Below are 26,033 nucleotides of genomic sequence, written 5' to 3' on the forward strand. Positions count from 1 at the left end.
GGAAGATAACGTAGAATATCTACAGTGTGGTCATTTTCCTCGACGTAGTACCGATTTATAGAAAATAAAATGGATGGAAAATGGATAGAAAGGCTGACAAATAAATACTATGGCATCACCCAGTCAACAGCCATTCCACAAGCATTTATGGGACCATTTGAATGCACTGGAAGAGTGATTAAGAAAACAATAGATAAATTATGGTATCTTTTGTGTAAAGCTCTCAGACAAGGAAGAGACATTCAAAACATAAAGTGAAATAACTCAGTACAGTTAATGCTTATGAATGTAGGAAATCCAAGAAAATGGATAGCCACCGAGTCCTGTTAAATTGGAAGACAGCAGAATAATAGTAAACAGGTGGAAAAGTGTTTTGGGTTTAAATAATCAGTCTTCACTTTGTCATAATTTACTTAGTTGTAATTATGTGATTGTGGATTCTATGATACACAATCAAGATTCCTCTTCAGGAATGATTTACTGCCACATATGATCAAAGCGCTGGCCCCAGAAGGGTATTAATTATCAGCTCCCTGCCAGGATTGCTTTAGCTAAAATAACTGACTTTCCAAGGTGGACTATTTTCGTTTTTTGTCAATGGAAGGACAACTCAGCACAACTCTTAAGGCTCACTGTCACTCCAGCTCAGAACTCCCTATAGAATTGGCTGAGGGTGCATCTCAGGTCAGCTTCTGCCAAATCATGCTTCTTTCCCTTCCCTTTCTTTCCCTTGATACCAAGAGCATGCTCTAATAAACCTCCTACACATTAATCTCTGGCTCAGAATCTACTTCTTGGAGAACCCAACCTGGACTAACTGGTATTAGGAGTGGCCCAAAAAGCAAAGACTTGAATGGTATCTTGGAGCTGAATTCTTTTCTGCCTGGCTGGCAATGGGCACAAGGTGGCAGTGCGATTGTTAAAATTCTCAGCAGTGGTACACTAGCATGACTTTACTGGGTGAAGCAAATGCCTAGCTGGTACCATGTATCAAATATCTGAGACATGCAGGGAAAATAGCGATTACGAAGAAAGTGGAACTCGGAAGTCGTTGCTAAATGCTGAGAAAAAAGTTAACAAAAAGATGAATAATTAAATCAACAATTAAAAGTAAGAGTGGCTGAGCTCCATGGAAAGTTAAACTCCCTAACACAGTCAGGGACTTTTTTGGGAAAAAATGGGATTTTGAACATGGATGGTTGTATGTTGGTTGATACAACCAAAAATATTAAAATAGCAGATTCCTCTGAACCTACAGAAGTGGCCTATTCCTCTCTTTATTATTATTATCGTTGTTGTTGTTGTTGTACTGCAGCATTATCACCTACACTTTTACTTAAAGATGCTAAAGATGCATCCCCCCCAAATCAACTGGGTAGTTCTGCTGGTCTTTGTGGGCCTCACACAAGCATCAGCACATCTGCTGGGAACTGTGTTCTAGGCTCTGCTTGGTTGGGGCACATTACCTGGGACAGCTCTACCCTAGGTAATTTCATCATCCTCCTGTGACCTGCAAGTTACTCTGAGCATGCTCTTTTCATGGCAATGGAAGAAGTAAAGGAGAAGAGCAGTGACACACTAGGCTCAGAACTGGCACACAGTTTACTGCTGTCTCATTCTAATAGCCAAAGCAAGCCTTATACTCGAAGAAACAAAGTGAGACAGCACTGCCAATGTGTGTGAATGCAGGGAGTCGTAAAGAATTGAGGCCATCAGGGCAGTATACATCATAATTATTTAAAATCAATGTGTTTTATTACAATACTAGTTCAATATACAGTTAACTTTTTGTCTGTTTCACGATGTGGCTGGGTTGTGCTGTAGGATAGAATTTCACATAGGTGCGGCCCATGTTAAAAGGCAGATAAATCCCACCTAGGAAGAGACCAGTAAATGATTCAAAGTTGCTGAAAACAGATAACATGCACACCAAGTTCAGGTGCTAGAGTATTTACTTACAGCAAGACAGAGAGAGTACACAAGATTCAGGCCCTTGCAATGTTAAGGCTAGTAGGTCCATTTTGAAGATGACAGTGGCCCTTTGGCTGCGTGCACCCCACTTCTTGCTGCAGTAGATGGATCCAAACCCTTTTCCTGCAGTGTCCGAAATACAGGATTTGGGGGAAGAGGAGGAATGTGCTGAAGGGACACAGATAAACACATAACTAAGCAGTTCTGAGAAAGGTTTTCATGTGTCAGATATAGAGGGAACGGGGATGTACTGGCTGAGCTGTTTGCATGCAATTAAAAGCACGAGTTAGCCAGCACATCCTGTACCTAAGACTCTTTGGAAACACAGTAGAGCTGTTGGGCTATACTTGGACACTTCCCTCACATTATCATATCAACTTAATATCACTTCTAATAAATGAAAACTTAAAAGGCTCAAAGACGCAATAATTGGTAATGACCACTACTGTATTCACCATCTTTTTTGCTGCATGTTTTGTAAAATGGTGACAGATTTTTATTTACTAGTCTTCAAGGTAGTCCAATAACCCCTGTTAAATCATTTCCTTCAGGAGGAGGGCAGACTGGTTAAAGAATACTTCTGGTGAAAACACCTTTCTACGTTGTTATTTGTCCATATAGAAGTTTCCTTAAACAAAAATTAACCTAAAAGACAATTCCAAAATAATTCATTATTTTCTGAACTCTATCTAACCTAAAATATTTATTGCTCAATAAAAGCTTCAATGGCTTTTAATTGAGATGATATATAAAACATAATTAACACTAGAAATATCTAAGAACAAATAATGAAAAAAATTAGTAAATGCCATTCCCTAGCTCATTAGCTGATTTCTTTTCAATCTTAATCCCTGAATTTAATATTGTGTGTGTGTGTGTTTGTATGTGTGAATGTGAGCATGTATGTGTTCAATAATGTCCAAATTATAAAACCATCGATATTAACAATTTTCAATGCTGTCCAGCCTGTTTTTAGCAAGCCAACATGTTCAATCTTCATGCTATCAAAATCACCAATTCTGAATACACATTTGTTATAAATTAAAAACCTTAGTTGGATAAATATATATCATCAAGTGAGTAATGTTTATGTTACCAGTTGCCGTTCAGATTATTCAGTTTACTCCTCTCAACTATGTTAATACCTGCATTGATTTGTTGTTGTTAATGTAGTCATTGTGCTTATAAGCAAATGTACATCCGTTAACATAATTTCCTATAACCACACTATAGTTGTTCAAAACATTTTACTAACCTCTGTTATCAACTATACTATTCCTAGCAATTTTATTCACATCCAAGGCTTCAATTATCTCTTTAATACCAGTAGCTCCTACATGTATATTACCTTCTGGGAGCTCTGTTCTGAACTCTAGAATCATATAGACAACTGCCTACTTGATAGTTTCTTATGGCTATTTCAAACGAACCTTAAGTCCAACAAGTCCTGATCAGAGTGTCACCCACCTCTAACCTCAAATTTGGGTCTCTGTGAGCATTTTCTTAGACAATCTAGTTGCTAAAACCAGAAAACCAAAAGTCATATTTTATACCCTAATTTCTTTCATTTATTTACAACTTAAATCTTGTACCAAACCCAGTTGATTTTTACTAAACATCTCTGACTCTCACTTTTCCTTCCTAGCACATAGTACATTTGTAATTACACATGGTCTTGCAAATTATTTGATTAATACCAGTGACATCCCCTTACCCCCGATACGGTTTGGCTCTGTGTCCCCACCAAAATCTCATCTTGTAGCTCCCATAATTCCCACGGGTTGTGGGAGGGATGCAGTGGGAGAAAATTGAATCATGGGGTCGGGTCTTTCCTGTGCTGTTCTCATGACAGTGAATAAGTCTCACGAGATCTGATGGTTTTAAAAAGGGGAGTTTCCCTGCACAAGCACTCTTCTCTTGTCTGCCATCCATGTGAGAGGTGCCTTTCACCTCTTGCCATGATTGTGAGGCCTCCCCAGCCACGTGGAACTGTAAGTCCAATAAACCTCTTTATTTTGTAAATTGTCCAGTCTCGTGTATGTCTTTATCGGCAGGGTGAAAATGGACTAATACAGTAAATTGGTACCAGTAGAGTGGGGCACTGCAGAAAAGATACCCGAAAAGGTGGAAGCAACTTTGGAACTGGGTACCAGGCAGAGGTTGGAACAGTTTGGAGGGCTCAGAAGAAGACAGGAAAATGTGGGAAAGTTTGCAACTTCCTAGAGACTTATCGAATGACTTTGACCAAAATGCTGATAATGATATGGGCAATGAAATCCAGGCTGAGGTGGTCTCAGATGGAGATGAGGAACTTGTTGGGAACTACAGCAAAGGTGACTCTTGCTATGAGTCACCTTTTTGGCAAAGAGACTGACGGCATTTTACCCCTGCCCTAGAGATTTGTGGAACCTTGAATTTTGAGAGAGATGATTTAGGGTATCTGGTGGAAGAAATTTCTAAGCAGCAAAGTGTTTGAGATTTGACTTGGGTGCTCTTAAAAGCCTTCAGTTTTATTCATTTACCAAGATATGGTTTAGAATTGAAACTTATGTTTAAAAGGGAAGCAGAGCATAAAAGTTCAGAAAATTTGCAGCCTGACAATGTGATAGAAAAGAAAACCCCATTTTCTGAGGAGAAATTCAAGCCGGCTGCAGAAATTTGCATAAGTAATGAGGAGCCAAATGTTAATCCCCAAGACAATGGAGATAATGTCTCCAGGTATGTCAGAGGCCTTTCAAGCAGCCCCTCCTATCACAGGCCCAGAGGCCTAGGAGGAAAAAATGGTTTCATGGGCAGGGGCCAGCATCCCCCTGCTGAATGCAGCCAAGGGACTTGGTGTCCTGCATCCCAGCTGCTCCAGCCCTGACTGGAAGGGGCCAAAGTACAGCTCAGGCTGTGTCTCCAGAGGGTGCAAGCCCCAAGCCTTGGCAGCTTCCACGTGGTGTTGAGCCTGAGAGTGCACAGAAGTCATGAATTTGGGTTTGGGAACCTCCACCTAGATTTCAGAGGATGTATGGAAATGCCTGGATGTCCAGGCAGAAGTTTGTTGAAGGGGCAGGGGTCTCATGGAGAACCTCTGCTAGAGCAATGTAGAAGGGAAATGTGAGGTGGGAGCCCCCTCACAGAGTCCCTACTGGAGCACCACCTAGTGGAGCTGTGAGAAAAGGGCCACCATCCTCCAGACTGTAGAAGGGTAGATCTACTGACAGCTTGCACTGTGTTCCTGGAAAAGCCACAGACACTCTATATCAGCCCATGAATACAGCCAGGAGGGAGGCTGTTCTCTGCTGAGCCACAAGGGTAGAGCTGTCCAAGACCAAGGGAACCCACCTCTTGCATCAGTGTGACCCGGATGCAAGACATGGAGTCAAAGGAGATCATTCTGGAGCTTTATGATTTGACTGCTCTGCTGGATCTCGGACTTGCATGGGGCTTGCAGCCCCTTTGTTTTGGCCGATTTCTCCCATTTAGAATGGCTGTATTTACCCAATTCCTGTTCCCCCTTTGTTATCTAGGAAGTAACTGACTTGCTTTTGAATTTACAGGATCATAGGTGGAAGGGATTTGCCTTGTCTCAGATGAGACATTGGAATGTGGACTTTTGAGTTAATGCTGAAATGAGTTAAGACTTTGGGGGACTGTTGGGAAGGTTTTGAAATGTGAAGACATGAGATTTGGGAGGGGTGGGGAGTGGAATGATACTGTTTGGCTCTGTGTCTTCACTGAAATCTCATCTTGCAGCTCCCATAATTCTCATTTCTTGTGGATGAGACCTGCTGGGAGATGACTGAATCATGTGGTTGGGTCTTTCATGTGCTGTTCTCATGATCGTGAATAAGTCTCAGGAGATCCGATGGTTTTTAAAAGGGGAGTTTCCCTGACCATGCACTCTTCTCTTGTCTGCCACCATGTGAGATGTGCCTTTCACCTTTTGCCATGATCGTGAAGCCTCCCCAGCAACATGGAACTGCAAGTCCAATATACCTTTCTTTTGTACATTGCCCAGTCTCAGGTATGTCTTTATCAGCAACATGAAAACAGAATAATAAACTCCCATACTAAATAGAAGCTTTACAAAGACAGTGACTGGGTCTAATTTTACTCTCCAAATTTCCCCAATTATTAGCAAAAAGTTTGGCATGTGGTAGGCATTTGATAAATTTTGTTGGAAGAGTCAATCAACCTATAAATCTAAAACTTGAAACACAATACACACTGTCTTAGAGTAACATATGGAAATGGGTAAGAATATCTTCTGGATTTTTTTTAGATTACTGTATATGCAAAGTGGCACACAGACCATGCTGATATGTCTAAGCAATAACTCCAAGAGAACTAACTGCAGTTCTACTCCCAGATTGCATATCTAGATGCTAATGGCATCCTTGGGCTGATTTCTAGAAGAAAGGCTGAATGTGTAGATTTCATTATTACAAATAAGGATAGGCAGATTTTACAGAAAAATATGTTTATTATCATAAAATTGCCAAAACAAATTCATTAATTAAGAATAGACAAATTTATATATATATAATATACACATCTATGAAATTTGTATTAATCCCCAAATAAATTCATTAATTTAGAATAGACAAATTCATATATGTATTATATACACATATATACACACATCTATGAAATTTGTATTAATATTCATTACAATATCCTTTAAAGTATACATTTCCCACATATTGGAAGTTAAGACTTTCTGCACATTAAGTTGTATATACAGCACATTTAAGATGGATAGTCAAAGGTTGCAATGATGGTAAGTTTTTATTTAGAGATCACATTTCAAAAGATGTACCTGTATATAAATAAAATGGTGTTATAGATAGAATTTTAAAGTATAAGAACTTCTTTCAATTTTTTAAAATATAAGAGCCTATATGGTAACAACTGTATTTTTAGTGGCTATAGAAGTTTATATAATTATAGTTTATATCACATGGTAACATGACTTATGTCACTGAATCTTCACAACAACACTACATTGTAGGTAAACCTTTACGTCAGTCAAAATATGAGGAGACTGAGGCTTAGATGGTTTAAGTATTTAACCCAAGGTAACCCAGTAAATTATACATAGAAGAGATGTTACTATCTCTAGTTTATATTCAAGAAAAACAAGATTCAGAGATATTGAGTTGTCTGAGATCAAATGTATAATAAGTACTGAGACACAACAAAGACCTGAAAAACAGCTATTGTTTGAAGTTCCATAGTCTTTCCTCCAATTAAGCAACCTCTGTGGAAAACAGTGTAATTTTCTGTCATGCATTTAATTTTTATTCACAGGCTTTATTTGTATGCTCTTGCATTTGTAATTGCATATAGTTGTGCTATATACATATGCATATATTTCACTTATGGATATATGTATATATATGTGTGTTTGTATACATGTAAATGTATTTACATGAATGTCCTAGAACTGTATGAAACATCCAATGCTTAATCAAAGTCTTATTCATAATTTGGCTGAAAAATGTCATAATTTATATGTTTTTGGACACATGTAAAGGCAATATATTTAGAAATGTAGCATATTGATAATTTTAATGAATTTAGAAAACCCACAAAGCCCATAAGTTTGATAATACCCTTAACAACAATTAAAAATGGGGAAAAACAGGTCTGGATACATGTCCATAAATGAGTAGTATGTATTCAGCTTCGCTGTGTTCCAAGCTCACAGCAAGGACAAACAATATAGGCCTTGATCTCACTTAGTCCTCACAAATATCGCATGAGTATGGTATAAGATTTTATTTTTTCTGGTGAAGAGTCTATGGATTAGAGAGATTGAGTTACTTGACTAAGTTTACCTAGGTTGTAAGTGCTGAGACACAGACTGAAATTAGTCATAGCCGACCAATAAATTCCATTATATATGGGATTTTCAACATACATCTGTCTTCTCAATACTTCATCATGTGTGAAAATGGATTATATATACAAAATGTTCACATATATTAAAATATAAGTTTGCAGCAGTAGCATGCCTATGAGCATATACATTTATATATTATACTAAAGACCCATATATATATGCTATATATACACATTGCATTTTGTGTGTTTGCATGTGTGTGAAAGGGTATCTATGTGCATATGTGTTTTTGTATACACACACACACATATATTGCACCATGAGTATAACCGGGTATCTATGCCTATACATTCCAAAGATGTATTTATAATGAAAAGTAGAGACAAAAAAAATAAGATCACTTATTGAAAATGTCATCAACTGCCTGGAATGGAATGAAAGAAATACATCAATCCTCCTAACCTTAAAGGCAAGCAGAAAGTAGAGCTGCTCTTTTCAAATCGATGAAATTAACAAAAGCAATTGAACGTGGCAAAGAGAAGATGTCAGGTAAGAATCAGCATATGTGAGAACAGAAGACTGAATAACTTAGAGAAAGACATCAATGTCTCTGCTGCTAGTGATGACCTCACTCTCCATGAAGCTATAAAACATGGCAGCGGTTGTCCCTGTGACAGGAAATGCCAGGACTTCAAAGCTTCAGCCCTGGTTATGTGAAACAGGGCAGGAACTATTTGCCCTAAATACTAAACCTTTTAATTTTAAAAGTTTTGAAATATTTAAGCTAGAAATACTTCCAACACTGGATGATGTTTAAATGGTTACTTTATAAAGAAAAAAAGAAGAGTGTGTGCCTATTTTTTAATTCATAAGAAAATTATTAAATCACTAGCATTTCAAAGAACCCATTTTCAATTACCCAGAGAGAGATTGCCTACAGAAAATGTTCAATTCCAGGCTGGCGTCTCCAACCTACCCAGACCACTGCCTCCCTTCCACCTTCACCTGTGTCCTCAGGGAATAAGGAACTTCAATATCAGCAGAAGTAAAACATAATGGCCACATTTACAGAATAATTTCCACTGATATTTTTATTCCAAGGCAGAAGGAAAAGAGTACACTTGTGCCAGCAAGTATATCTGGCACACTGTGGATTTCTGCTGCTCCTGCGGTCAATTGCAGTTTTTTTCCGAGATCCAGCTAAAGGTTTCCTCTGTAGTCCTCCTTTTCAGCTTTCTCCCGCCCTCAGGGCCTGCAACCACCTACTCCCATGCCAGCTTTTCCACTTGTTTCATTAGTTACATCATCTTGCCTCTGTCTACCTTAACACTAGCATGTGACAAGTACTGAATGAATGAATGTCATAGGTTTCCATGGGCAGCAAATAGCAGCACTATGCAAAAGATTCTTCAATCCTTGTGCCCAAATGGAGCTACTAATAGAGGGCAATGGGATAAGGAAGATGGGGGAGGAAAGAAATATTTATGGAATGCTTACATTTTGCCAAAGTTCATGTTTTTGAAAACAATAATGTATCAATAGCCACTTGATATGTAATTATGTTAAAACATGTGGGATCTATTTTAGTATTATCATTTTGTAATTGAGGTAACTGATGTTCATTTACTTTTGACAAGATACTTCTGAGATAAGGTGTTTTTATCTCTATGCAAAAAAAACTTGTCTTGAAGAGGTTAAACTACTTTACCAAGGTCACCCATCTAGGAAGTGATGAGCACAGTAAGCTATAAGACCACTGGGAAACTAGCTAAAAATTAGTATGCCTTAACCAAATCTGGGGGATCTGGGAAGTAAAGATGTGTGGAAAATGGTAAAAGAGAAAATCATCCAGCGTAAAAGTAGGTTGTTTTTTGTTTTCATTTAAATGAGGGTGGTAATGAATAGATGGAGGAAAAGTAAATTGAGTAGCAACATAAATAGGGGGCTCCATTAGTGATAACAGGTGAAAATAGATGGGTTCAGATTCTGGGACTGAAACCCCAGAAACAAAGATGGTAAAGAACATACAGGTTAGATTCAGTAACCTCAGTTGTAACAGATAAACCCTGAAAACTCAATAACTTAAGACAAGACTATTTTAATTATTGCTCATATCCCAATTTAACAAGGGTTGGTGAGGAAGAGGCTCTGCTTCATAAACTCCTTCAGGAACTCAGTCCTTCCAAATAGTGGAAATCCTGTCCTCCTCTGGGCCCTGGAGTCTTCTCAATTGATAGGCAGAGGGTAAAATGAATGAGGCTCACCTGTGGGAGGCTTCTGTGGGCCAGGCCTGGAAGAAGTGTGCATCACTTTTACCTGCATTTCATTGGCCAGAACTCAGTGACAAGACCACACCTACCTGTAAGGGAGCCTGGACAAGGCAGTCAATCTCAGGCCCAGGAAGAAAACAGAAACATCCACATAAGAGAACTTCTGCCACAAAGAGACAAAAGGAAGGCGAGGTTTGGTATCTTTTTTTTTTTTTTTTTTGGAGATGGGGTCTTGCTCTGTCGCCCAGGCTGGAGTGCAGAGGCGGGATATCGGCTCACTGCAAGCTCTGCCTCCCGGGTTCATGCCATTCTCCTGCCTCAGCCTCCAGAGTAGCTGGGACTACAGGCGCCCGCCACCATGCCCCGCTAATTTTTGTGTGTGTGTGTGTGTATTTTTAGTAGAGACGGGGTTTCATCGTGTTAGCCAGGATGGTCTCAATCTCCTGACCTCGTGATCCGCCAGCCTCGGCCTCCCAAAGTGCTGGGATTACAGGCTTGAGCCACCGCGCCCGGCTGAGGTTTGGTATCTTTTAACTAAATACTTATTATTCTTTAAAATTTGTAATTGTCTGGCTTATAGTCTTTCATTTAGTAAGCCCTCATAGATACTTTTATATGTATGAATGAATCTGAGTGAAAGCAAACATGGGGATAACAACTGCAAGGTTGAGCAATATGCACCAGAAGGATATTCTAGAAGAGCAGCCGTACATAGCTTCAGGAGTTTCGGGAGTTAGCAACAAGTGAAGTCAAAACCAGGCAGGCAGGTGTTTTATATTACAGAACTGAAAGTAGGAGATCAGGCAGGGGAGTTTCAATCAAACCTAAATCTGTAGAAGACCTAGGAGTTCAAAGCAGCCCCCAGCTGTAGAAGGGTTGGGAGCTGCTCAAAAGGATACACACGGCAAGAGAGAGGCTCCAATAAGGACTCAGTTACGCAGTTATGCGAGCAAAGATCCAAAGCACAGAATTGCTCCTTTGGAACAAGTGAGGATCCCAGGTGTGAGACCCGAGGAGATGACTGACTTAGTTACTCTTCTCAGCCTTATATTCAGGAGTTTTTCAAAACACCCTGCCAGAGACTAGAGAATTCCTGCTAAACCTACAAGAATGGGGAAAGCGGAAAAATGATGAGAATAGAAATTACTAATGGGTTGGCAAAAATATGGCTCCAGCCTCAAATTCTAAGGGGGGAAGGGATAAGTTGCAAAGTCGATAATTAGTGTTTTCAGATAAATGTGCTGGGGAAAAAGCATTCTAAATTCAAACGCAAATGGGTTTAGCATTGGCATTTTCTACTGCTTTGCATTATCTGTGAACTCTGTCTCTTTGCTGGAGCAGAAGATGGGAAATTTCACATTTTTGGAGCCAGACAATGGCATGTGACAGACCCATGGATTACTTAACGTTATAGCTGCCATTGCTACCACCACTGCTACTATGCTGCCTCTTCTCCCTCTGCAGGGACAACTCTTGGTGTGTGGCCATCTAAAACAATTTAGCCCTGCCGTTTTCTCCGTATTTTGCATATTCTCTTATGTTCTTCCTGGCAATTATTCAAATTGAGTGCCTATTTAAGCTTTAGAGATGCAAAAATTTGGGAATACTTTGGCAGTTGTGCTCTTTACTTTCAATCCATGTCTTTGTGTTATCAAAAGATGCATATTGTGTTCTTGTTAAGAGAACAGAAAAGTGGTCTTTAGGGCTTGGATTCATGGAATAGAATATAGATATTGTTACTATACAAATGGGTATATGTTTTTTCTTTCATATTAAAATGCTATTTATAGAGATACCTAGCTTTGATGTCTAATCAGACACAGATGTTTTCTAAAGTCTGTTTGAATTCTAATTGTTGAAATACACTTCAAACATATTAATTAACAAGTTAATTCTATTCTATTAGATATAAAATTACTAGTACCTACAATGAATAGTATGTTGAATGATTAGGGAAAACAGGAATGGTTTCTGGCTGTGGAAGAGAAACTGGAGGTTTGTTTATTTTCCCTATCAAGTACGTGATTTATTATGCACTAACCAGGAATATAATTAATAGATTCTGGTGTCACCTTATTATTCTAAGAGTTGACTTTTTCAGTATTAATTTAAAAAATACACTGTTGGTCTGTTATACAAAATGAGCTTATACTTTTGAACACTTTGTTAGACTATATTTAGAGGTATAAATGTGTTGTGCATAAACCCCTCTAAATAGTGTGACAAGGATCTCCTATGCCTTTAAATTTTACTTCATTTTATCATTATTCTGGGTAAAATACAGGGGTCTCAGAAGCTAAGTTGTGGTTAAATTTGCCTCATCTTTTCTGATTTCCATCCTCCTGCCTTTTTAGGGACCTTGTTCATCAATCACGCTTCTTGTCTCCTGGAACTTCCACCCATTCCTTTTGTCTTTCTTCTTCCCATCACTTTTATTTTAAAGGAAAACAATAATCTCTAGATAAAGTATCCTCCTTTAGCTACACTGTGTCTCCTCTCCTTCCCAAGGAAGCAGCCTGAAATCATATTTTTTGTTGCAACTGATTCCTCCTCATTTTTCATACACAGCTCCACCAACTATAAACTGGAATAGCCCAACCTTTACAAGTGGCATCCTAATTATTGAACCTAGCAATCACTTTTCAATCTATTTGTCTCTGGCCCTTTAAGCTTGCTTCAATAACACTCTGTTTCCAGGTCCCATGAGTATTTTCCCTTGTTCTCATGACTCTAAATTGAATTTTCATATACTCTACTGACCTGCCCAGACTTGATGATCTTTCTCATTCTCCTCTTGGCATTTGGAACTTCTGTGTTTTCTGTCGTCCTTAACAGTATCTCCCCTTTTGTCTTGAGGATCTTGGGCATCTTCCTGCATGCTGGAATCCCTCAAGCTGTGGAGACTCTTCTTAAATTTGGTCACCCGGAAATAGCCCCAGAAATGGGAGGACTGGTTCATTTCAATTCTATTTTCTGCCATGTCTGACATCATTGACTACTACCACCATGAAACCATCTTCTGCCTTAGTTTCTATGATACACACCTCTCCTGGTTCTCTTCTGATTTTCTAGTTGCTCATTCTTTGCCTTTCCCGTGTGTTGCTTCTCCTCTGTCCCTCCCTGAAATGTCTATTCCCCAGACGTTTCTTTTCAACCCTCTCTCATTCAGTCATTACACATTCTACCTGGGCAATTTCATCCACATGCATACTCACTTTGTATAAAGAAATCCTACTATCATATAACTAACTCTCAAGGCCGGACTCTTGAACTCTGGCTCTGTTTTCCAATTGTTTAACTCTTCCAAACACACACACACACACACACAAATCACAGTATGTTGAAGTGTTCTCCACAAACATTCCTCTTTTGTATGTGTATCTGCATGTTATAGTGTGTTAATCTCTCTCTCTCTCTGTCTCTGTCCTTTCTCCCTAGAAGCTTTGTCTTTTCCTTTGACAAGGTTAACTCATATCTCATATGTGTCTCTCAACATCAATTTAAGCATATTTTCTCACCACCCTAGACTGACTTAGGTTCCTATCCTCTACATTTCCTAACAAATTGTAAAACATCTTGAGGTTGCAAATGTGTCTTTATCATGTCTGTATCCTCATTTACAAGAATAAAGAAAGACAAGGATAGAAAGCGAGAGGTGCGGACTTGGGATTCAGTCATACAAATGGAAGTGGATGTGAATGAAGTTTTCTAGACAGAATATATAAGGACTGATGAATTGAAAGCAACAGAATTGTACATGAGCATGATAATATGTTAGGTTTGCAGAATACATTATTGAACTTTGTATGTGGTACCAGTGAGCTTTGGATTTAAGACAGAAAACATTTGATGCTGACAAACTAGTAAACAAAACAACAGATAAAAGAGAAGCAGGAAAATACTTGCTCAATGAGTAACATAAGTCAAAAAAGTAAGAGCAGCCCAAGAGGCTTTTAGAGATTACTACTCTGGTTTCACACTGACAAAATAAGCAGGAGAATTTGAGGAAGTATTTAAACATCAACAACAAAAAAGAACTGGGTAAAATATTGGAGAGGAGGTGTAATGCCAAGAATAGGATGGTGCTTATGGAAATTGGAGTAGGATAATCAGATAAAGAATAAATGTGCTCAAGTAGATGTGCCAGAGGCATGTGGGACGAGGATTAAGACTGGAAGAATCAAATGTCTGAATAAGAAAGAAAAGATATTGCCAGTGGCATATTTCCCTTTTATCTTTAATGTTTAGACTCGGAATGAGTTATGAGGATGTATCAGTATCCTATTGCTGCTGTAACAACTTACCACAAACTTAGTGGCTTAAAACAACACAAATTTATAATCTTACATTTCTGAGAGAAAAAACTCCTTAAATCCAGATCTCCACAGGACTGTGATCCTTGTGGTGCCCCTAGGAGATAATCAGTTTCCTTGCCTTTTCCAGCTTCTTGATGCCTCCTGCAATCCTTGGCTTATGTTTGCTAGCAAAGTAGCAATCACACTATTTCACCATATTTATCTTAATCACATCTGCAAAGTTCCTTCAGCCATGCAAGTATTAATTGTATATTCACAGGTTCTGGGGATGATAATGTATATATCTTTGGGAAGGGTATGATTCTGTCTACCACAGAGAGTCAAAAGGTAATAAAAATTAGACAAATATCTACATTTCATTAATTCATTCATTTAGCATTGGAGAGACTCTTGTACATTTAAAACCCATCCTTTATAAGAAGAGGTTCATGCTAAGATTTTCACACTCATAATCATACTTGAGTCTTAACCCTGTGAAAGAGAGAAAAGATATATCCATTTTATAGATGTTCACACATGTGTATAAGAATTTAGTGACTTACCCAAAGTTGCACGGCTAGTGAATACCAGATCTAAAACAAAGCCATGTGTTCTAACTACAAATCAAGTGTTCTTTCTATAACTATAAAACATTTCCTTGTGATTATAAAAGACATAAAAAAAAAAGATTGGATTCACCAGAAGTTTGACAGCAGAAAGAAATGAAAAGGTAATTTTGATATTAATCCATCATTATATCTTTCCTAAATACATTCTTCATGTTGAATGAAAGTGAAAAAGTTGAACACGTTTCCATTTGTTTCAAATCTTGTATTTAAGGCAGATGCTCAGAGTGGTCTAGGAAGCAGAGGACGTAGAAACCGCTACAGTCTTGGTTTACTGCTTGTCTCTCCCCTTCAGGTTTGAAAATACACATTACAAGGTAGCAAGCACAAATGCCCAGAGGGTCAAGCAGGGTCTCTAAATGAGATAAGCAGATTGGATATTAGAACGCAAGCTCAATCATAAATAGTAGCTAATATTCATCTTCCAGAACAGAGAACAAAGTGGGGTGGCAAGCCTGTGGCAAACTTGAGTGTGCTTAGCTGATCACAAGGGGATGGCTTTTTCTCAGCACTAGGTGCAATATTGTTTTTTGTAGAATGTGGACACAGTGTTGGCAGATAATCATCTTTTTTAAAAGGGATAAGCCAGAAATTAAAATTTTTATATTGAACCACCCAGATTTTAATGGTTAGTATTTTAAATCGTTTCAAGACACTAAACGGCCAGAGAAAACATATATGAAGACCAGAGTCCACAGTGTTGCAAATTTATAATTTCTAGCATAAGAATATTGATTGTACTAGACTTATTCATCCAAAAAAGCATTGAAATAAAAGAATGAGGAGGCATTGACAGGTAGCCAATGAGAGGTTGAGAATGATTTATTGTTTACACTGTCCTTTCAACATTCCAAAATATGACATCTGCTCCTTCAATATCCTTTTTAAAATTTATTGGTGGCAATTTTGATGCCATCAATAATTATTATTATTTCAAAAGAAAGCAAACAAATGGAAAGAAAACAGAGTGAGGAATAGATGCAGTAATAAGACAAATATTCTTCTTTGATTTTTTTTTCTAAAAACTACACTCACACAAAAAAGTCAAAATCACCAAAAACAAACAAACAACACGTTTTACTCTTCAAGATGTGATGGGAGAATCTGGACAATCTATCCTTCAGTATAGTGGGAGGATATTCTAACATTCCAACACAAGAGCTACATCATTTTTAAGAGATGACAGCAAAATAGAAGAAAAATCAAATGAATCCTGTGTCCTGTAAGCCAAGCTAAGAGGATATGTAGGATTAAGTGAGGATCCTCTCTGCCAAAAGCTGCTGGGCAGTCAGGGCAGATCAGGGCGGAGAGAGGTCCAGCAGCTCTGGCGCCAGTGAAAGCTTGGATGGCCTTGGCAACGGCAAGTTGCTACTGTGCAGCAGAGGAAGCTGGGATCCTGATAAGAATTTACTTACTAGGCTGGACGGAGGGACAATGGTTCCAGTGAGGGCTAGTTGGCAACAGATGGAGGAAGACCATTGTAGTAGTCCATTCTCACGCTGCTACAAAGAACTGCTCAAGACTGGGTATTTGCAAAGAAAAGAGGTTTAATTGACTCACAGTTCAGCATGGCTGGGTAGGCCTCAGGAAACATACAGTCATGGTGGAAGGGGAAGCAAACACAGCCTTCTTCACATGACGGCAGAAAGAAGTGCCAAGCAAAAGGGGGAAAATTCCCTATAAAACTATCAGATCTCCTGAGAACTCATTCACTATCACGAGAACAGCATGGAGGTAACCACCCCACCGGGTCCCTCTCATGACACACGGGGATTATGGGAACTACAAGATGAGATTTGGGTGGTGACACTGCCAAACCATATCAATCATTTCCTGTTTTGTAACTTCTGACAGTGTAGACAGAAATGAGTGAAGAGTGCAGTGGCTGTAATGGTGGAAACTCACTTTGAGTGTGTTGGTCTTCTTGGTGAGGAAGGCCACACTGAGTGGTCAAAGGCTTGGATGTTCGTGGGGCTGGGGTAGTCTCCACAAGCCAGAATTTTCAGTGGTAGAAGTTGTGTCGGCCAAGAAGTGCTTCCACCATGGTTTGGAATTTGTATAATAGTGCCCATTCCTCCTATTTTGATATAATTTAAATAACTTTCATAGAAAATCAATGTAATCCCATCATCAAGAGATAATCACCGCTATTTACAGAATATATATATAAAATATATATTGTATACATACATACTGTAAATCATATTAATATACTATGTAGTTTTATTTGAAATGTGTAATATATATGTAGTTTTATTTATATAAAACATCTTCTATAAGTATATATAAATATAACTTTCATATATTTTTCATATATATCTTATATATTACCTATTATATATTGTATACATATATAATATATAAATAAGTGAAAGCATTCTGAGATCTGCTGACATCTTAAATGACTTCTTTTTGGTTTGCACATATTGTTTCACTCTTTCTGCTGTAAATTTATAGATTTGAGAAATGCACTATGTCATGTAACCACCATTGTAGTATCATGCAGAATATTTTCACTGTCTTAAGAAATCCATTCTGCTTCAGCCATACACTAACTCCAACTTGAACTCCTGGAAATCACTGTTGGTTTATTATCTCTGTAGTTTTGTGTTGTCTTGAATGTCATACAAATGGAATAGCACAGTATATAACCTTTGCAGACTGGCTTCTTTCATTTAGCAGTATGTATTTTAAGATTCATCTATGTCTTTGTGTAGCTTGTTAGCTTATGACTTTCACTTTTCATTGTTGAATGATATCCCATTGTATGAATATACTATAGTTTGTTTATTGATTTGCCTATTGAAAGACATCTTGGTCACTTTCAGTTTTTCTGATTATGAATAAAGTTACTATAAACATTTGCATGAAGGCATAAACATTTTGGGCAAACATAACCTTTCAAATCAGTTGGGGTGATACTGAGGAGCCTAACAGTTAAATCATACGGTGAGACTACGTTTAACTTTGTAAGAAACTGCCCAGCTGCCTTCCAATGTGACTGTACTACTTTTGCATTCCCAACAGTAATGAATGAGAGTTCCTGTTGCCCTGCACCTTCACCAGCAGTAACTATTGTCAGTATTTTGGATTTAATATGTATGTCGTGGCATCTCGTTGTTGTGTTAATTTGAATTCCCTAATGACATACGATGTTGAACATATTTTCATGTGCTTGTTTGCTATCTAGTTATCTTCTTTGGTGAGATCTTTTGTTTCTTCAGCTCTTCTGTTCATTTTAAATTTTTTTTAATTGTTGAGTTTTAAGAGCTCTTTGCATAGTTGGGATACAAGGCATTTATCAGATATGTGTTTGGAATGTATTTTCTCCCAGTTTATGACTTGTTTTTTAATTCTTTTTTACTGGGTGTTTCACAAAGCAGGGTTTTTAATTTCAATAAAGCTCAACTTATCAATTTTTCACTGTCATGGAACAAGTTTGTTTGTTTTTAACCTGCTGTTTCCACTTAACAATATGTTTTAAACATATTTCTTGCTAATAAATATACATTTATAGTATCAAAAAGCAGAAAAAATACTTTCAGACACAGAGAAAAACAAGGGAGAAAGAAATGTTTTCTAAGTTTATTAGGCATGAAAGTACAAAAAACATTTCTTTTATGAGTGAATAAATATGTTATTTAAAATTCAACCTATATTATATTCTCTCTATATTTTTGATGATCTCTTTTTAATTTAATTTCTGTTCTGCTATCACTGTTGCAATGTCAAGGTGAATGTTGAAAACTGATCAGAATGTTAACATGTCTTTGGTTATGCTACTAAAAGTATAGCCTAGTTCTTTGTAATATAAAATAAAAAGCTTTAAAACCTAAGAATGGACTCCAGAGAGAAAATGCGTAGTGTGGAAGTGAATTTGAATCATAGAATCCCTGAATTTAAAGATAAAATGTAAAAGAAAGTTCAAGACTCTGGGTTGTTTGAGTCCTTTGTATCTTGGTAATAATCAAGACATGGAGGCTTATTACTAATAAAAAGGTTGCATTTAGTGTTCTGTTCTAGAATTTGTACACAAGCTGTCTTTCATTTGCAGTAATGTTAATCAAGTAAATTAGTATGTAATATGCACCCAACAAAAAAGATACCTTGCCTTATGCCATTATCTGTTTAATCTTCTCAGTTTCCCTTCAAAGGAACTATTATTAACCTAATTTTACAAATGAGAAGACTAATGCTCTGAGAAGTTAAGTAATCCAACATCACACAGCTAATAGGTGATGGAGCTGGGTTTTTAACCAAGGACTGACTGATTGAAGAGCTGAAGCTTTCTCAGCTACTCATACACAAATAATTATCATGCAAACCAAGTGTGTCATATATTTGACACAAACACTTCTCATTTGGGTGGGAGATAAGGCAGAATAGACATAAATATAGTGCCTGGTATGTGACAAAAAATAACCTCATATGATATGATAATGAGTATAATGAGAGATCAGTAAGAACTGAAATAAATTGGTGAGACAGAACTAGTAAGCTGATCAACAAGTCAACTTTCCTTTCCTTCTGGACAGCCGGAGTTCATTTTTCAGCATACTTTCTAGTTATTCTGGTCATTACTATATATCATTTCCAGGCCTGGCCCATAAGAATCACCTATATAATCTTTAAAATCTTATAATACAAGCTGATAGATGTGCTTCTATCAGCCTGTATCCTTGAATGATTGAGTACGGTAACAACTACCTACCCTCAATTAGATTTTATGAGTTCAAGAAATAAACTTCCACTATATTGAACTAATGCTATTTCTAAGTTTACCTATCACGATCAGCTAGTATTCTTCTGACTAACACATAAATTAGTACCAGAAGTGGGGGGCTACAAAACAAAAACCTAACATAGGTAGCACTGCTTAGAAAATGGGCAGCAGGCTGCAAGCAAATTAATCTTATGAGTTGGAAAGATGTAGAATAATAATACGATGCACAGGCAAAATAATTGGAAAAATTGTCTGCAATAAAATTTAGGTGCCCACTGAGCATTTAGAATTAGGAGAAAAAGTTGAAAAACACAATCATAATACTGTACATTATTTGTTAATAGCTAAATTTAGGAAGGTATTTGTAAAGAGAGAGAGGAAGTCTGTTAAGAATTGGTCAGTTTACAAGCAGTAATGAAAGAGAATAGTGAAAGTCCAAAAAATTGGAGGTTAAAGTGTTAAAAAAGTCATACTGGTTCTAGTCTTCACATATCAGGGATTACAATTTAAAAACAGAATGAGCAACTTGGTCCACTAAATTAGTTTAAACATGTGTTTACCCCACTCATTTATGTTGACCTCAAGGAACCTTCCATTGGGTTGAAAGCTAAGGGCAGAAGGGTAAGGATAAAAACATATAAATAAGGCTTGAGGATTATGTCTAAGAAGAAAACTTCAAGAGTGGATACTAACAAACACAACTGTCTGGAAACAACAGCATAAAAGCCTATTACATTTTTGATAAGTTGTATCGTCAAAGAAATTAGAAGCTCACACTTCTGAAACAACTACAACAACAAAACTTTGACACTTTAGGTTTTAAACAACCATCAAGCTCCCAAACCTGCACCAGCAAGAAGAAGTCTGCAAAAACAGGACAGACATATGCAGCATCACCAGCTTCAAATGGGATCATAGAGAATAATTTACAAGGAAGAACTTCCTGCAGGTGGAAGCAGGGCCATACAGAAATATGCACAAAAGAGTTCCTCCCAGAAAGTAGAATCAGGGCCTCATTAAGGAACTTCCCCTCACCCAGGATCAGGAATTTCGCAAGGTCCACAGTAAAGTTTTCTTGACTGCTATGCACCAGTATCTCCTTAGTATATCCCATTATAACCCTTTCTAAAAAGATAGTTTTCAATTGCTACTTTATATGCCATTGTTCATTGAGTATTCATGTCAGATAACTTGTCTTTTAGTTTATAGTTAATGAAGAGGCACATTAGATTCTGGTAGATAATAATGTGCACATCTTGATTTTGAGCCAGATGCAGTATCTTGTTGGGAACTGGTTTGTTTCTGACCATAGAGGGCTTGAGTGAAATGAAAAAGGACAGCAGAAACTGAGGAATTGTTCACTGAAAGCATTTCTCTTTCCTCCTGGGTACATAGCTAGTCTGTCACCCCCAAATTCTCTTGCAGTTGATGTGGCCATGTCTATGAATTCTGGCCAATAAAATGTCCGTGTAAATGACACATGTCACACCTAAATGATCCTTCTTGCTCTTGCATGCCTTTTTCATCAGTATATTGAGTTCCAGAATGAGTTTGAAAATTATATGTTGAAGATGAAAGTGCCTACATGACTGTGTGGAGCAAACCCCTTTGTCCTTTCTCCTCATATTAATGGAAAAAGAATGAGTTTTAAAAAATCCCCTTGTGTTACACCCTTGATATATTATAGTTTATGTGTTGCAAGATAGCTACACTAATGAATACTTTAGAAAAGAGTTTTTGAAAAAAGAAGGTGGAGAAATGAGCCATGAAATTTACTTGCAATGACGAAACATATCTGCTTTAGCGGGAAACATATGAACAAAAGTCTGAGACTCCATTGAGCTTTGAAAGGTTATATGGAAGTTGAGGCAAGTTAACCACCTCAACTTTATAATTACTGCTACTATAATAATAATAGTGTTTATCTACAAACCTAATGTATACTGAACAATAATCTTCCAGATACTGAACTAAGTACTTTGTACATATTATCTCATTTAAATTTGAAAGTACTTCTAAGAACTAGATATTATTATTATCTTTATTTACATAAGTGAGGAAATAGAGACATGAAGATATAAGAAACTTGCCTAGATTTCACATTTCATAAGAGGTAGACCTAGAATTTTAACTCAGGTTGATCTGTCCCCAGAACCTACATTTTTAATTCATTCTATTGCCTAGAAAGCAAAACACTTTAAAACTTCTCTGTAAATACTCATTTGATATAAATAAAAATTTGCATGGAATGGTTGAGGTTTTGAGGTTGAGTATTCCAAAATGATCTAAATCATGCTTCTGTTAAACGTATTTTCAGTTGATCACCAAAACCAGGATCCATCTTATTGTAGCTCTATCACATGTTTATTGTTTAGATAACCCGAAAAATATATAGCTCACCTGTGTTTGTATCAATTTGTACTAATCACTCCACTTAAGTGACTATAGACATAACACATTAATGACCCAATGGTTAATTTTCATTAATTTCTCATTAAAAGTCAAGCACAAAACTGTACTTTCATATATTTTAGTTATTTTATTTCCTTCTTTTGACTAATCTGAAATTGTGCCTAATTCAGTTACTCTGTTACAATCTAGAAAATTGTGATGTTCTTGCCTTCAAAAGCTAAAGCCCAACAAAGAGGATCTATGGTCCAGTACCAGTATCAGCTGTTGGAAGTTATCTTCTAGCTCTAATGCAATCATTTCTTCTAGATTTCAAAGATTCCTATTCACTTCCCAGAAATAAAAATTTTTAAGGCCAAAAAGACATTAATTAGTTACATTAAAATACCTGATTCAATGTACTATTAAGAGATTTCCAATTTGCTGCAACCACTTGAGATTTTCTGTAACATCTAATGGATAGCCCTGTTAGAACATCTTTGGTAAACTTGACTGTGGGATGTAAACCTGGGGGTGCTGTTGGCTTAGTACTGGATTTATTCAAGGATAATTACATAAAAGACTTAAAAATCACAGGATAGTGGCTCTCTTGAGAGCTGACCAAGCAGGCTGAAGGAGATAAATACAAGCAAAGTAAAATACATTGTCATCTTTCTTATATAAAATAACATTAATTCGATATAACATATTTCTAGTACCTAAAGCCTAATAGAGATGTTAAAAATATATCATGCTGGGAATCTGACTTATCTTACCCTCTGCAGTCATGTTTTGTAATGCCCTTGTTATAAATATTTATAATTAATGTCTTAATCGAACAGTGCCTGATAATAATCAGAACTGCTTTTCTAAGAATGAAGTACTCAAGTCAAGTACTATATAGGTTTAGCTGCTGAGTATAATTTTAAAAAACTGAATATGATATATACAAATAAAAAATCTCAACTAAAACATTGAATAATACAAAAATAGAAGCCATTATTACTAAATTTTTAAAAATTAAAGACAATAACGGTTTTTGTATTCGGATACTCACATAAAATTATTAAGAATTCACATCTCTTGGGAGATAAAAATAATCTATAAAGGAACAGAATTGTAAGTAATTTCAGAAAGGATTGCAAAACTTGGACATAAAGATGTGGACTGTAAGATCTTTAATGTTCACATAATCTAGATTTTTTAAAAATTGTGAAGTGTGAAACTGTATTTTCATTTTATAATTAAATGAATATTAAGGAGATTAATTTTTTTCTACCATTAAAAAAACATATCCACTTTTTCTAATAATTGCTAAAAATCCTTTCTGTTAACAGATAAAGGCAATTAGGCACGTTTGAGTCTACATGCAATATAACTGGTACATTATACGGTATTAAGCTCATAAACATGCTGTCAACTTTCTGATTTAAGGGGTCAAAAATTCTTCACATAGCAAGTATATAAAATATTTTTTGAGCATTTTACTTTAAGGACTTCAACAGGGAGATGTGCAAGTCTGTTATATTTTTCCTTGTGAATGTGAAAGTGTTCTATGGTGCTCACTGGGTCTCTGCGTAGCCAGCAGGCAATAAAACAGAAGCAACAATGGCTTGCATGATTCACTTACCAACTAAATAACATAGCCTATGCCCCCCTAGCATCACCAGGTCAACAGCCAGTACTAACCGACTACATCACAGGTATTGAAATATTCTTGGCGACTTGATGTTATAACATTTAGAGAAGTGGATTTAAAATATCAATCCTGTAATGAAATATGATCCACTGTTAAATAGACACCAAAGGTTACTGAATATAAAATATGCATGCAGCTAACCTCCATAATAATATGACAAACAACAAAAAAAGAAATTGCTAAAGGAAAACACTATAGGTTTATCTTCCATACGGTACAAAGACTAAGGCAGACTTTCGGAGCAGATAAGATTTTTTTAAGAAAAAAAAGCTTGGCAAACTTAATTTCTAGAAAGTAATTATCAAGCTGCATGGTAGCATAAAGTCCTATTGATCCAAATTTCTCTTTCTGTATGAACTTCACAGACTTGCATGACTTGGCATCAGTAAAAGCTAATGATGATTCGTGCTATTAGCTTCCATAGCTCCAGTCCCTAGGAACTCAGCTTTGACCTTTTATTAGCAGTTTTCTCCCGAGGCAAGTAGGATTATTCTCTAGGCTCACTTCCTAATCACCCTAGAACACCTGGAGAATTTGTTAAAAGCCAGACTGAGTGAGGGTCTGGGACGCTAAAAGAAAGTGAAGATTCAGTCTAAGGGAAGAACGCTCTTGCCTGTGTAATCTGGACAACAATCCTGGGATACCATAGAAAATAAAATTACTGTTAGAATTCAACTTATGTAAAGTTAAAATAGTCATAATTGCAAAAATTCATGTTAAATATTATAGTTTGGTTTCAACTTTTAGCATCATTTCTCCCTGCTCTTCCCCACAAAACCCCATGTAACATTTATACATTCATTTTTCCTTGACCAAACATTTATTGAGCTCTTATCACTATGCTAGACACTTAAATAGCATTCTGTTATGGTAATACAGGAGTCATTAATTTTTTAAAATTAATTTTATAGTGTCCTATGCTTTAAGTGGCTTCAGAACCTAGTATTGACTAATGAAGCCATAGAGAATGCTTTACAAATAACTTGAAAACTCTGCTCCTTTTCTCCTTCCTTACTCCTTCTTGCCTCTCACTTCTTCCTTACTCCCCCTTCCCCGACACACACACACACACACACACACACACACAAGCATATGCCTTCCTTCTACTTTTCCATGTCATGCTGCACCAATGTCATATGTAGCTGCTGTTAAGTAATCACAGCTTAAAGAAAAAAAAATTCATTATTAATAGACGTTGGATTTTCTTACTCAAGCAAATGACCAAATTTTAAATTATAAAAATTGAAAATGGAATCTAATGAGGTAAAGAGGTATCTTTTCCGCAATTTTGGTAATGACTTGATTTCTATAACATTATAAACAAACACTCAAATGAAGGATTGCATATCTTTAAACATGCTTTTGTTTTAAACATAACAGTAATAAAGACTGTCAATAATTTAAGACTTTATGAAACTATGTCAATTCAAGTTTTTTATACAGCCTTCTGCATAAATCATGACTCTACCTCCATTTTAAAATATTGAACGTAAAGAAACGTAACTCTTTTCTAATGTAAATATCCCACTTGAATTATCCTTTCCCCATTCTGCGTGGATCAAATGGTTGTCACCCTAATCGCCCTACCACAATTCTTTTTAAAGGAAACCAAAGATCTTCTCACCCATTCTCACCATCTCTTGTCAATACTTACAGTCAAGAGTTGATTTTCAGATCAAATTTCGCCCCCGCTCCAAAATAAACACTATCCTTACTTTTTCTTAATTATAAATGATCTTCTAGGCTTGTTGCCCTACTATACTCTTTCCTTCAAAATATTTTACATTATCTTAGTTTCAATGATTTCCTCTTTATTGATAACTCTCAAATCTCAGTAGCAAAGAGTATGTTGTGGTGGTAAGAGTACAGGGCTAGGAATTTGAACACTTGCCTGTTTGGAGTCCTGTTTCCTACAAAATTTTGATGAATGATTTTCTTCTTTTACTTATATTTGTGTGTGTGTGTGTGTGTGTGTGTGAGATGTGTGTGTACACACAGGTCCTGGTATAAAGAATATTTTTAAAAATGCTAGTTATGATTAACTTAGTAGAATCTAATCTATTCTGTTAGTTTTCATTCTTGTCTTCTCGTTTTGATTTTGCTTCAATCTTTCAATGCAAAGAAAACCTAATGTAGCAATCTTATAATATGAGCACAAATATTTATTTTATAGAAGTTTTATAGTTTTTAAATATGATAATTGAGGTGTTCTGTATTTGAAATTATCT

The 26,033-nt window shown here is 36.6% G+C and overlaps 1 annotated feature.

Moving 5' to 3' along the window:
- Positions 11,308–12,111: an enhancer, noted in NCBI's record as "OCT4-NANOG hESC enhancer chr2:168131495-168132298 (GRCh37/hg19 assembly coordinates)". NCBI's record gives its function as "activates a minimal SCP1, AML or CMV promoter by ChIP-STARR-seq in primed H9 embryonic stem cells {active_cell/tissue: H9 hESC(primed)}" and the evidence as "EXISTENCE:reporter gene assay evidence [ECO:0000049][PMID:30033119]".

This window comes from Homo sapiens, chromosome 2 (genome assembly GCF_000001405.40).
Source record: "Homo sapiens chromosome 2, GRCh38.p14 Primary Assembly".
Classification (NCBI taxonomy): Eukaryota; Metazoa; Chordata; class Mammalia; order Primates; family Hominidae; genus Homo; species Homo sapiens.